The following is a 14,026-nucleotide window of genomic DNA, read 5'->3' on the forward strand; positions in this document are numbered from 1 at the left end:
ATTCATGGTAGGAAAGAGCCACTCAAGTAGCTACCCTTTCTTAAGCATTATCTCTTCAGAGTATTCATGAATACAGTCCCATGATCTCCTGAGGCAGATTGCAATACAACTTTTCAGGTAAAAGTTGGACCAATTTTTGAATTTTATAAACCAGATCCTACTACTTTGAACTGAATGACTTTTGGATTTGTATATGCTTTGTTTTTTGTCATTTTTCCTGATCTGGATAAATTACATGTGTAATCCTCCAGTGTTTGAAAAATATTAGCAGTTAATATTGATATATTTAAGTGTACCATATATTCTTTTCTAGGCCTTAATTTCTATCATGTAAAGAGAGGTTTTTTTGCCTTCTTTAGAAATTTCAAAAATATATCTACATGGACAAATGAGCAGAAATTATCACTGTGGTTTGTTAGTAAGGGAATTAGAGAAAATCACTGTAAAAAGACCATATGTTTTAGCATTATGGTCAACAGGCATAAAACCAAGTTTTCTCAAAACTTCATTGAAGAGAAATAACAGTACATGGACAAGTAGGTCATAGCATACATTTCTTCACTCAGTCCAATGTTCTCAAATTGCACCTTTATATTTTAGCTTATGAAAGTGTTTTTAATAGATACTAGTTATAGTATATAATACATCTATAGTAGATACTGTATAATAGATATACTATTATATACTAGCTATATAAGTTATATAACTATATAAGTTATAGTACATAGTATATAATAGATACTTAGTTCAGAGAAGATAAGGTCTGCCTTCCTCTCTTGTTCTCTCTCTCTTCTTCTTCTTCTTTTTTTTTTTGTACAAAAGATTGGTCCAAAAAGATTAGCTAAGACATTTATTAATATGGAGTGTTATTTACTCAAACTAGGGCTCTCATAGGCGTTGAGTGGATAGATAGTTTTGTGTGTGCTAGATACATCAGTTTACTTGAAAAGATTGGAAATAAATAACAGGAAATTGGTTGGTGCTTAGATAATTATTGGAAAGCAAAAAATAAAACTAAGCTAGGAAAATAATAAGAATCCTTTATTCTCTGCTTCCACTCAGGGTGAATCAGGACCAGTGCAATAAATCACCCTCAATACTTCCTGTGAATGGCAACTGCTGAAGGGAAGCTTCTGCCTCTCATCATACACTGCCTCAGGGGGGAACAAAATAGATCATTACAATGGAGGCCAAAGAGTGGTAAGAAAGTTCTACTTATTTTTATACCTACTTATTTTTATTTTATACCTCTAAATAATTTGTACATGTTGGTTAAGTATGGAGAATTGAATGGGGTTAAAACTAATTGTTGTTTCTAATTTCATAAAAATATTCCAATTATGGCAACATCTAGCTGTGTGTTAAAAATTATTTAAAATAAATTCCAAGATATTCTTTTATTGCTTGAATGGAAAATGTTCAGGGCCTTATCTGCTATCCAGTATAATCTTGTCATTTTTGTGGCCACTTATGCTACAACTTTAAGTTTTTAGGATTTCCATTAAAAAAAAAACTGCTTTTCAAGAATGGGAGTAAACTTTTCATTTTGCCTTGAGCCATGGCCAACTGACAAAGTATTTATTTTTGTTCTTAAAAATATATACATTGACTTATTTTGGAAAATAACCAACTTTCATGTTTTGGCTTGAAAAAGTTTCTTTTTTTCCTAATTTAAACCCATACACGTAAATACACACCTTCTCTGATTGAGAATAAAAAACATTGGAAAAAGAAGTTATTTATGTCTCACTGCAAAAAGTTATATCCATATTGGTTTTTAGACTTGAAAATGAAGAATGAGAACAGTCAAAACAACAACAAAACAGCTTAATGTTTAGTTAGCTCCTTCATTTTACAACTGAAGAAACAGGTTACAGAAAGGTTATTGGTGCTGGAAAGGAATCAGTGGCTATTCACCTCCAGACCTATGGAAAATAAAAGACACAAAGGATCCTTGCCATCAGCTATATTGTGGTGTCTTTAGACAATAGGACCAGAATTATGTAATAGCTTCATTATATTTTATGTCATTTAGGATTATTTTAAAAATGTGAAGACAAAATAAATCTGTAACTTAGAGAAAATGTGCTTACATAATATATTTTAGAACATCCAAATACAGCAATAAAAAAATAAAGTAAAATGACTTAAGAAGGAAAATGGCTTAAAAATACAATGAAATAAATTGAAATGGCTTAGTGACTACGTGAGGTTGTCACTCTTTACATTAAAAAATTTGTTTTAACCTTGCGGAACAACTTTTAAAATAGTAGCTACATAACTTAATTTGGGCACACATTTATAGATTACAAACTTATTAGCAAGGAGTTTTGGGGAGAAAAGATTAGAATTTATTGTCAAGTATGTCCAAAAGAAAAAAAATAGAAAAAAAACCTCCTGAAATTATACCAGCACAAAAATAGAATTAGATTTAAATAAAAATTTAAGCAGTACATCTGTTAAGGAAAGTGAAATATGATGGCACTTAACTATTGATTCTTTTGTGGGAACCATGAATTGTGTTTACAATAATGTTATGTTTCAATTACACTTTTTAAAAATAAAAGGTTTATGCCTTTAAAAAGGAAGAAGACTCTCAAGAGCAAGATGTCAAATTACAGGAGCAGAACTACACGAAAGAAAGATCCCCTGCAAGGTGGATAATCACCTGATTATAGAAATTAGGAAAATAAATTAAACATGTTTTACTAAATTAACTTTTTAAATTAAAAAGTTACAAAGGATATAGGTTTTAATAGAGTGAAGTAAAGCACATACGACATGGTATTTTAGGCTTTCCTTTTTCTTTTGTTATCTTTTAGTGGCAGGTCTAGTTAATTGTTATAAATATATACAGGCCCTGTATGAGAAGGCAATACTATAGGTGAAAATAATTAAAGCAGTCCCTGGTTACAAACAGAATACTTTTTTTTTCAGTTTATCACTAGCATTTCATAAGGCTATTAATGATTCAGGAGCCCAAAGATTTTAAAATCTTTCAACATTATGTATAGATGAAAGTAAGTTACGTTTTGAAAGTATAAAGGGAAACCTAAGACAAATGACTGATAACAAAGAATTCCAGTGGCTTTGGGTTCTTTGTATTTTCTTAGATCTTCAACTGTAGTATATACTGAAAGATTACAAATTATGAATGTTAATAATCATGGCAGCGGCAGCCCGTCCGGGATGGCCACTGAGAAGATGTCGGCTAATATGGGGGCGGTACAGAGGGGCTGCGTGCTCCGCGGAGCCAGTGGGGGCCTCTCCCACTTCCAGGTCCTCTGGGCCGGAGCCCCGTGTTTCCCCGCACAGCTATAGCTGCCCAGCTGTGGTTCCAGACCCTGGCATACCTGGGCTACTGGGGGCTGGGAGCTGGCAGGAGCCCCGCCTCCTACCTAGTTGGTGGAATGGGAGCCCCTCACTCCCTGGTGCAGCTGCAGTTGCATAGCCAAGGCTACAAACCTGGGCACCTCTGCACCCTTGGGGTCCTGGGAAGCCACCCGTATCCCGCAGGTTCCCTGCTTCCATTACCTGGGTTCCTCTGCTCCCAGCACCTGCTCTGATTTCAGATCAAAGTTGAGGATGAGCTCAGGCGCTTTGGCGACCTGGCCGGTTGCGCGCACACTCAGGGCAGCACTGATATGCCAGCCCCCTGCTGCCTCAGCCCCCTCCAGACTTTGGGTGCTGACTAGCATGGGAGGGAGGCTGCTGGAGATGCCGAAGGCAGCTCAGGGTGGGCCTGCAGGCACCCGTAGACATGAACAGTCTGGGTGCCCTGGATGACATGTAGATGGCAGCAGGAGGCAGACAGGCTCCTGGGCAGAAAGGGGTGGATCCCTGGTGAAGCCTCACCTTCAGGCGAGAAATGGCCTATGGCATGGGGACCAGGCTGTAAGTTCCAGGTGGAGTCTGTGGCTTGAAGTGAAAACTTCTGGTGCTTTTTCCAGGCCTTCCCATGGCCACCCATAGACCAATTAGCATGCACGGCCTCCTATCTGAAACCTATAAAGCCACCCCCACCCCCGACTCAGCCAGACTCACAAAGACGTCCGAACGACCTGCCTGCAGATAGGAGCTACACACTCACTCAGGATCTCCTCTTTGCTAAGAACTGCATATTCCTTCGGATGACCTGCCAGTGGAAAGGAGCTACCCACTTCAGGCCTCCTGAGAGCTGTGCTGTTGCTTTATAAAGCACCTCTTGCCTTTGCTCACCCTCCAGTTTTCTGTGTACCTCAGTCTTCCTAGATGCGGGACAAGAACTTGGAATCTGCTGAATGGTGGGAATGAAAGAGTTGTAACACAAACAGGGCTGAAACAGACACCCCCCTCCCCTACCGCTGACTCGCCATATTGCAAATGACAAAGAGAGCAGAGCTGCAGCCCTTCGGAAAGCCCAGACCTAGCTCATGCACCCCTTGCCACTCCACACCTGGCTCACCCTTGTAGATCCGGGCTGGCAGCATGAGCCAGGCACAGCCTGCCAGGCCGAGTGGATGGTGGAAGGAGCCCAGCAGGCCTGAGCAAAACTTAGGCAAAGGTGCCACTGGCCGTAGAGACTTCAGGCTGGAAAAGTGACACCCTAAGGATCCTAGGACAATAATTTATTATCTTAAATAATGGGATATATTTTGTATGACACATATATGATATCCTATGAATTTCAGTCAGGGTTGTGCTGGTTAATGTTCAAAAACCTATTTTTCAGGAGAAAAGCATCCACGATTTTTTGTTGATTTCTATGGTGTAAATACTCCCAGCAAAGCCACTTTTTAACTGTCAGCAAGGCATCTTCAAATACTGAGTTGGAAGTAGATATGGAACATACCATGGGCTCTCAAAAGCAGGCGTAAGTCTACTCCAGCAACCCCTGATCTTAACTCACCATCCATGCTTTTCTGTACCTAGATTATCTTACCATTAGGTCTGGGCACAAAAACTTAATTCACCTATGTAATTTCTACATGATTTTGTTAATTACATTTTTGCTTAAGATGAAATGATCAGTACCTATGGCACCTTAATAACTTCACAAAGTCATTGAGCTAGAAAATTGTATACATGATTGAGATGCAGAGTGGCCTTTTGAAATTTTAATATAACATACTCATTTGCTTGAGAAAAAAAATTATTTTGTAATAAGACTTCATCTATTACACAGAGATGTGGTACACAGTAAAGAAGTAAACAGCTAATTTTTGGTGCAACTAACTTCATTTGTATGTTATCATTGTTCCCACTTCTTCACTATCAGTGTTTTCCAGGCTCTGTGTTTGACCCTTAAATCATATAATTCTACACACCCAGAACATTAAAATAAAATTAGGAAACTGGCTTTAATCACTACATGAAATCCTTTGGTATCAATATGTTCTGATTTTATCCTTAGCCTTAATTTTTTTGCCTCTTCTGCTGTTATATTTTTTCTAGTTTTATATGTTGTATCCAAAATCCCTTAAAATCACTTTGTAACTTATAAGGAGAGGTATAAGTATACAAATTAAGTTAAAAACCTTTCTCATACAGATGATCCTCATTACTTATGGATCGTATATTTGCAAAATTTGCCTATTCACTAAAAGTTGTTTGTAACCTTCATGTCAACACTCATGTTTTCACAGTTATTTGTGAAATGCACAGAACTGTGACAAATTTGAGTCACCTGATGCAAATGTTCCCAGATGACATCAAATAAGGTGACACCATGCCTTTCTTGCTTCAGGTCTCAGACTATAGAACAAGTATCTTTTTCAAGATGTACTTAATGCCAGGTTTTCACATTTTAATGCTTCTTGGGGCAATTTTGTTGTTTAAAATGGCCAACAAGAGTAGTACTGAAGTACTCTCTGGTGTTCCTAAATATAGGAAGACTGTGCTGTGTCCTAATGAGAAAATACATGCGCCACATAAACTGTTCAGGCATGAGTTATGTGCAGTTGGCTGTGAGCTCAATGTGAATTAATTGATAATAGAGTACATATAAGAATGTGTTTGGCCCTGTACTCACAAGGTTTATTATTTACTCATAAGGTTTATAATCTATTTGTTGAATTTCTATTTAAATGAGATACTTAGGGTTATTTTAAATTATATTTTCACTATTGCTTAAGCTGATCATTTTAAAATTATAATCTTCCTAGTTAGGAAAATGGAAATTAGAGCAAGAGTTAGTGGAAAAATCATAAAAAAAAGTCTTCATTCCATTTCTGCAACATCATACAACAAGAATTGGCCCAGAGACAGTGGAGCAAGATAGTGGAATAGAAGCCAGCACCGTTCATAACCTGTGCTGTAACACCAAATTTTAACAACTATCTGCACACAGAAAAGTACAATCATGAGAACCAAAAATTAGGTGAGCAATCACAGTACTGGTTTTAACTTCGTATCATTGAAAGAGGCATTGAGGAGGTTCTGAGAGACAGTCTTGAACCACAGATGCCACCACAGAGTATGTACATTTGGCGGAAAAATAGCACAGTGAATGGGGGTTATTACCTTGAACTCAGTTTTGCCATGTCATAGCAGAGAACAAAGCTGAACTGAGCTCAGCCAGTGACCACACACAGAGGGAGCATTTAGACCATATCTAGCCAGAGGAGAGTCATCCATTCCATTGGTCAGAACTTGAGTTTCTTGGAAAGTCTCACAACCACAGGTCAAAGGGCTCTGGGTCACTAAACAAACTGAAAAGGCACTCTAGCACTCAGGGACTGATTCCTAGGCAACTCCTTGTGCTGGGCTGAAAGCCAGAGGACTAGGGTGGCATGTGACCTAGGGAGACACTAGCTGAGGTAGCTAAAGAAGGGCTTGCATCACTCTAACCCAACTCCAAGCTGTGGAGCTCGCAACAACAAAAGTGTCTCCTTCCTTCTGCTTAAGTGGAAGAAAGCAAAGACTGGAAAGGATTTTGTCTTGCATCTTGGATACCAGCTCAGTCACGGTAGGACAGGGCATCTGGCAGAGTCGTGAGACCCTTATTCCAGGCCCTAGGGATTCATCACTGTTGACTAAACAGCCCCTGGGCCCTGAGTAACCACCAGTGATACCCAGGAAGTATGCCATGGGCCTTGTGCTCTAAGGCATGCTGGCTACAGGTGTGATCCAGCATGTTACTGGTTGTGATGGCTACAGTGAAAGACTCCTTCTGTTTGAGAAAAGCAGAGGAAAAATTAAATGGGACTTTGTCTTGCACTTTTGCTACCAGCTTGGCTACAGTGGGGTAGAGCAACATGGAGGTTTTGGGGTCCTTGAGTTTAGGGCCAGATTCTTGGACAGCACTTCTAGACCTGACCTGGGCCAGTGGTTAGCCCACTACCCTGAAGGGTGAGTCCCAGACCTGACAGTATTCACCACAAGCTGATTGAAGAGCCCTTGAGCTTTAAGTGAACTTCGGTGGTGGCTTGGAAGAACTTCCTTGTGGGCCTATGGTGGTGGTGCCCACAGGAGAGGCTCCTCTGTCTGTGGAAAGGGGAAGGAAAAGCTGGAAAGACTTTATATTGTGGTTTGAGTGGCAGCTTAGCCACGGTACAATATAACATCAAACAAATTTTTAAAGTTTTTGACTCTAATACCTGGCTTCCCGAGAGCATATGTGGACCCACCTGGGCCTGGGAGAACTCACTGCCCTGAAGGAAGGGCACAAACACGGATGGCTTAGACACCTACTGATTGTAAAGCCCTAGGGCCTTCAGTGAACACAGGTGGTAGCAAGTAGTAGTTACAACAGGTCTTGGGCAAGTTCCAGTGCTGTCCTGGCTCAGGTCTGACCCAGTGCAGTGTCAGTGGTGGTGGCCACATGTGTCCTTGAATCACTACACCCCCAGTTCCATGTGGCTCAGCAGAGAGAGAGAGAGAGAGACTCTGTTTGGGGAAATTAGGATGGAAGAATAAGTGTCTCTGTCTGGCAATCTAGAGAATCCTGGAATTTATCCAAGACCACAAAGGCAGTACCTCTACCAGCATGAAAAACCACAGCAATATTGAGGCCTAATTCTCTTTGAATACCTGGAAAGCCTTCTCAAGGAAAATGGTGACAAACAAGCCCAGACAGTGAAGACTACAATAGATACCTAACTCTTCAATTCCCAGACATCTACAAACATCAAGATTATCCAGGAAAACATGACTTCACAAAACAAACTAAATAAGGCATCAGGGACTAATCCTAGAGAAACGGAGACATGCAACCTTTCAGAGAGAATTCACATTAGCGGTTTTGAGGACACTCGAATAAATTCAAGATAACACAGAGAAGAAATTCAGAATTCTATCAGGTAAGTTTAACAAAGATATTAAAATAATTTAAAAGAATCAACAGAAATTCTAGAGTTGAAAAATCCAGTTGACATACTGAAGAATGCAGATGTCTTTTAATAGCATAATTCATTGAGAAGAACAAAGATTTAGTGAGTTTGGAGACAGGCTATATGAAAATAGTCAGAGGAGATAAAAGAAAAAGAGAATAAAATACAATGAGGCATGCCTACGAGATCTAGAAAATAGCCTCAACAGGGCAAATCTAGGAGCTATTGACCTTAAAGAGGTGGTAGAAAAAGAGATAGGGGTAGAAAGTTCATTAAAAGGAATAAGATCAGCGAATTTCCCAATCCTAGAGAAAAATATGAATATCCACGTACGAGAAGTTTATAGAACACCAAGCAGTTTTAACCCAAAGAAGACTATCTCAAGGCATTTAATAATCAAACTCCCAAAGATCAAGTATAAAGAAAGGAACACAAAATCAGCAAGAGAAACTAATAACATAAAATGGAGCTCCAATATGTCTGGCAGCAGACTTTTCAGTGGAAATATTACAGACCAGGACAGTTGCATGACATATTTAAAGTGCTGAAGTAAAAAAAAAAAAAAAAACAAAAAAAAAAACAAAAAAAAAACTTTTACCCTATAATAGTATACCAAGTCTAGTTATCCTTCAAGCATGAAGAAGAAATAAGTACTTTCCAAGACAAATAACACGAGACTTATCCTACAAGAAATGCTAAAGGGAGTTCTTCAATCTGAATGAAAGGGATGTTAATGAACAAGAAAAAAAATATCATCTGAAGGTAAATAACTCACTGGAAATAGTAAGCAATTGGAAAACACAGATTATGATAACACTGTAATTGTGGTGTATAACCTTCTCTTATCTTAACCCTTTTCCTGTTTGCCCCAAGAATACTCACTGGCAGCACTTGTGGCTGCAGTGGTTATCCTGAGATAACTGCCATGAAATATCTCACTTTTATTATTATTTTCACATGGCTTTAGTACATTAACCTTGAAAACCCTATTTATATCATTCTCTGTTTTCAGTAGTGGTCTTTCCATTTACAAAATATAGTAATTCTCAATCACTAAAAATGTCAAATCTTAGAAAATGTAGCATTCCTATGTGTGATGTTAACATCATTCTTGAATAGTTGTTGGCTGAAGATTCATTTGATGAATTTGATTTTTTTCTGAAATAGACGATTCTGATGATTCAGATAATTCTAATGTTAGTTCTGTTTAGGAAATAGTTTTTTAATACTTTATTTTCACATTTAAGGAAGGAAAGAAGGAAGAGAAGACTACCAAACAACCAGAAAAAAAAAATAACAAAATAGCAGGAGTAAGTCCTTACTTATCAATGATACCATTGAACATAAATGGGACTAAACTCTCCAATCAAAAGTCATAGAGTAGGGGAACGGATTTTTAAAAAGACTCATTGATGTGTTGCCTACAAGAAACACACTTCCCCTATAAAGAAACACAGAGACTGAAAATAAAGGGATGGAAAAACATAATCCATGCCAATGGAAACAAACAACAAAAAAAGCAGAAGTAGCTATACTTATATCAGACAAAATAGGTTTGGGAAAAAAACTACAATAAAAGACAAAGAAGGACATTATGTAATGATAAAGAAGTCCATTTAGCAACAGGATATAACCACTATAACTATATATGTAGTCAACACTAGAACACTCACATATAAAGAAAATATTATGAGAGAGAGAGAAAGAGAGAGAGAGAAAAAGAGAGAGACCTGAATACAATAACGGCTGGAGACTTCAACATTCCACTTTTGGTTTTAGACAGATGTCCCAGACAGAAACTCAAGTAAGAAATATCAGACTTAATCTGCAGTATAGAAAACATAAACCTAATAGATATTTACAGAAAATTTCATTCAATAGCTGCAGAATGCACATTCTTCTCCTCAGCACATAGATCATGCTCGAGAATAGACCATGTTAGTTCACAAAACAAGTATTAAAACATTCAAAAATATAGAATTTTTTTTTTTTGAGAGGAGTCTCCGCTCACTGCAAGCTCCACCTCCCAGGTTCTCCTGCCTCAGCCTCCTGAGTAGCTGGGACTACAGGCGCCCGCCACCATGCCCAGCTAATTTTTTGTATTTTTAGTAGAGACGGGGTTTCACTGTATTAGCCATGATGGTCTCGATCTCCTGAGCTCGTAATCCGCCCGCCTCAGCCTCCCAAAGTGCTAGGATTACAGGCATGAGCCACCACGCCCTGACAAAAATATTGAAATTTTATCAAGCATCTTCTGACCACAATGGAATAAAACTAGATATAAACAGCTAGAGGAATTTTGGGAACTATACTAACACATGGAAATTAAACAATATGAGCCTGAATGACTAGTGGGTCAATAACAAAGTAAAAAATAATTGAAAAATTTCTTGAAACGAGTGATAATGAAAACACAACATATCCAAACCTATGAGATACAGCAAAAGCAGTACTAAGAGGGAGATTTATAGCTATAATGGCCTGTATCAGAAAAGAAGTAAAACGTCCAATAAATAACCTAAGAATGCATCTTAAAGAACTAGAAAAAGAAGAGCAAATTGAACCCAGAATTATTAGAGGAAAAGAACTGACAAAGATTAGAGCAGAAGTAAATGAATTTGAAATGAAGAAAATAATACAAAAGGTCAACAAAACAAAAAGCTGATTTTTTTGAAAGAAAACAAAATTGACAAACCTTTCGGTAGACTAAGAAAGAAAAAAGAGAGAAGACAGAAATAAATAAAATCAGAGTTGAAAAATGAGACATTAAAACTGATACCACAGGAATTCAAAGGATCATTAGTGGCTACTATGAGCAACTATGGCAAATAATTTGAAAAATCTAACTTTAATTGATAAATTTCAAATGGATGAATTCCTAGACACATATAATCTACCAAGATTGAACCGTGAAGTAATCCAAAACATGAACAGACTAATAACACTTAATGAGATGGAAGCTGTAATAAAAAGTCTCCCAGCAAACAAAACCTGGGACCCAATGGCTTCACTACTAAATTCTACAAAACATTTAAAGAAGAACTAATACCAATCCTACTCAAACTATTAAAAAAAAAATAGAGGAGGAGGGAATACTTCCAAACTCATTTTATAAAGCCAATATTACTTTGATACCAAAACCAGAAAAAGACACACACACACAAAACCAAAACTGAAGGCCAGTATCTCTCAGGAATATCAATGCAAAATCTTCAATAAAACACTAGCAAAACAAATTGAACAACACAGTGAAAAGATCATTCATAGCAACCGAATGGGATTTATCCCAGAGATGTGATAAAGGTTCAAAACACTCATATTAGTCAATGTAATACATTATACCAACAGAAAAAAGGAGAAAAACCATATGACTGTTTCAACTGATGCTCAAAAATCATTAAAATTCAACATCCTTTCATAATGTAAATTCTCAAAAAGCTGGGTATAGAAAGAACATACTTCAACATAATAGCCATATTCCACAGATCCACAGCTAGTATAGTAGTCGATGGGGAAAAACTGAAAGCCTTTTCTCTAATATCTGAAACAAAAAGATGCCCACTGTCACCACTGTTGTTGAACATAGTCCTAAAAGTCCTAGCTAGAGCAATCAGAGAACAGAAAGATATAAATGGGATCCAAATTGAGAAGAACAGTTGAATTATCCTTGTTTTCAGATTATATAATGTTATATTTAGAAAACCTAAAGACTCAACCAAAAAACTATTAGAACTGATAAATGAATTCAGTAACACTGTAGGATACAAGATAAACATACAAAAATCAGTAGCATATTTATACACCAACGGTGAACAATCTGAAATATAAATAAAGAAGTAATAAAGTAATCTAATTTACAATAGCCAAAAATAAAATTAAATACTTAGGAATTAACCAAAACAAAGTGAAAGATCTCTATAATAAAAATTATATAATACTGATAAAAGAAATTGAAAAGAACACCAAAAAATGGAAAGATATTCTATGTTCATGGACTGAATGAATCAATATTGTTAAAATGTCCACACTATCCAAAGCAATCTACAGACTCAGTGCAATCCCTATCAACATATCAATGACATTCTCCCCAAAAACAGAAAAAAAAAATTCTAAAATTATTTGGAACCACAAAAGACCCAGAAGAGCCAAAGCTCTCCTGAGCAAAAAGAGGACAACTAGAGAAATTACATTACCTGACTTCAAATTATACTACAGAGCTATAGTAAACAAAACACCATGCTATTGGCATAAAGACAGACATATAGACCAATGGAATACAATATAGAACCCAGAAACAAATCCACACACCTATAGTGAGCTCATTTTTGACAAAGGTGCCAAGAATATAGATTGTAGAAAGGACAGTCTCTTTATTATAATAAATGTTGTGGATAAAACTTTATATCCACATGAAATTGAATGAAACTAGGCCCCTAACTCTCAGTGTAAACAAAAATCAAATAAAAGTGAATAAAGGCCTTAAAGCTAAGACATCAAACTATAAAACTGCTACAAGAAAACATTGGGGAAACTCCAGGATGTTGGTCTTGGCAAAAATATCTTGAATAATACCCCACAACCATAGGCAACCAAAGCAAAAATGTGCAAATGGGATCACATCAAATTTAAAGGCTTCTGCACATTGAAGGAAACAATCAAAAAAATGAAGAGGCAAAAGAGGCAAATGACAGAACGGAAGAAAATACTTTCAGACTACCCATCTCATATGGCTTGGCTCTATGTCCCCATCCAGATCTCAATTTGTACCTCCCATAATTCCCTTGTGTTGTGGGAAAGACCTGGTGAGAGATAATTGAATCATGGGAGTGGATCTTTCCCATAGTGTCCTTGTGATAGTGAAAAAGCCTCATGAGATCTGATGGTTGTAAAAATGGGAGTTTTCCTGCACAAGCTCTCTCTTTGCTTTCTGCCATCCACGTAGGATGTGACTGGCTCCTCCTTTCCTTCTGCCATGATTGTGAGGCCTCCCCACCCATGTGAAACTGTAAGTCCACTAAGCTTCTTTCTTTTGTAAATTGCCCAGTCTTGGGTATGTCTTTATCAGCAGTGTGAAAACAGACTAATACAGTAAATTGGTACCAGTAGAATAGGGTGTTGCTGAAAAGATACCCAAAAATGTGGAAGCCATTTTGGAACTGGGTAACAGGCAGGGGTAGGAACAGTTTGAAGGGCTCAGAAGAAGAGAGGAAAATGTGGGAAAGTTTGGAACTCCCTAGAAACTTGTTGAATGGCATTGACCAAAATGCTGATAATGATATGGACAGTAGGGTCCAGGCTGAGGTGGTCTCAATTGGAGATGAGAAACTTGTTGGTAACTGGTGCAAAAGTGACTCATTATGTTTTAGCAAAGAGACTGGAGACATTTTGCCCCTGACCTACAGATTTGTAGAACTTTGAACTTGAGGGAGATGGTTTTGTAGAACTTTGAACTTGAGGGAGATGGTTTAGGATATCTGGTGGAAGAAATTTCTAAGCACCAGAGCATTCAAGAGGTGACTTGGGTGCTGTTTAAAGGTATTCAGTTTTAAAATGGAAACAGATCATAAAAGTTCAGAAATTTTGCAGCCTGACAATGCAATAGAAAAGAAAATCCCAGTCGGGCACCATGGCTCACACCTGTAATCCCATCACTTTGGGAGGCCGAGATGGGCAGTTCACAAGGTCAGGAGTTTGAGACCAGCCTGGCCAATATGGTA

At 37.6% G+C, this 14,026-nt stretch overlaps 1 long non-coding RNA gene across 1 annotated transcript in view, besides 1 other annotated feature; it reads left to right on the forward strand.

Annotated features, from left to right (window-relative positions):
* The first annotated feature begins 1,063 nt into the window (after positions 1 to 1,063).
* LINC00972 (long intergenic non-protein coding RNA 972) overlaps positions 1,064 to 14,026 on the forward strand; it is a 68,217-nt gene continuing 55,254 nt past the window's right edge. The window contains exon 1 of the long non-coding RNA NR_134240.1: positions 1,064 to 1,200. This is a non-coding gene — a long non-coding RNA (long intergenic non-protein coding RNA 972). The remainder of the gene's footprint in view (positions 1,201 to 14,026) is intronic.
* Positions 3,841 to 4,699: an enhancer, noted in NCBI's record as "H3K27ac-H3K4me1 hESC enhancer chr7:85053215-85054073 (GRCh37/hg19 assembly coordinates)". NCBI's record gives its function as "activates a minimal SCP1, AML or CMV promoter by ChIP-STARR-seq in naive H9 embryonic stem cells {active_cell/tissue: H9 hESC(naive)}" and the evidence as "EXISTENCE:reporter gene assay evidence [ECO:0000049][PMID:30033119]".

Source organism: Homo sapiens, chromosome 7, assembly GCF_000001405.40.
Source record: "Homo sapiens chromosome 7, GRCh38.p14 Primary Assembly".
Classification (NCBI taxonomy): domain Eukaryota; kingdom Metazoa; phylum Chordata; class Mammalia; order Primates; family Hominidae; genus Homo; species Homo sapiens.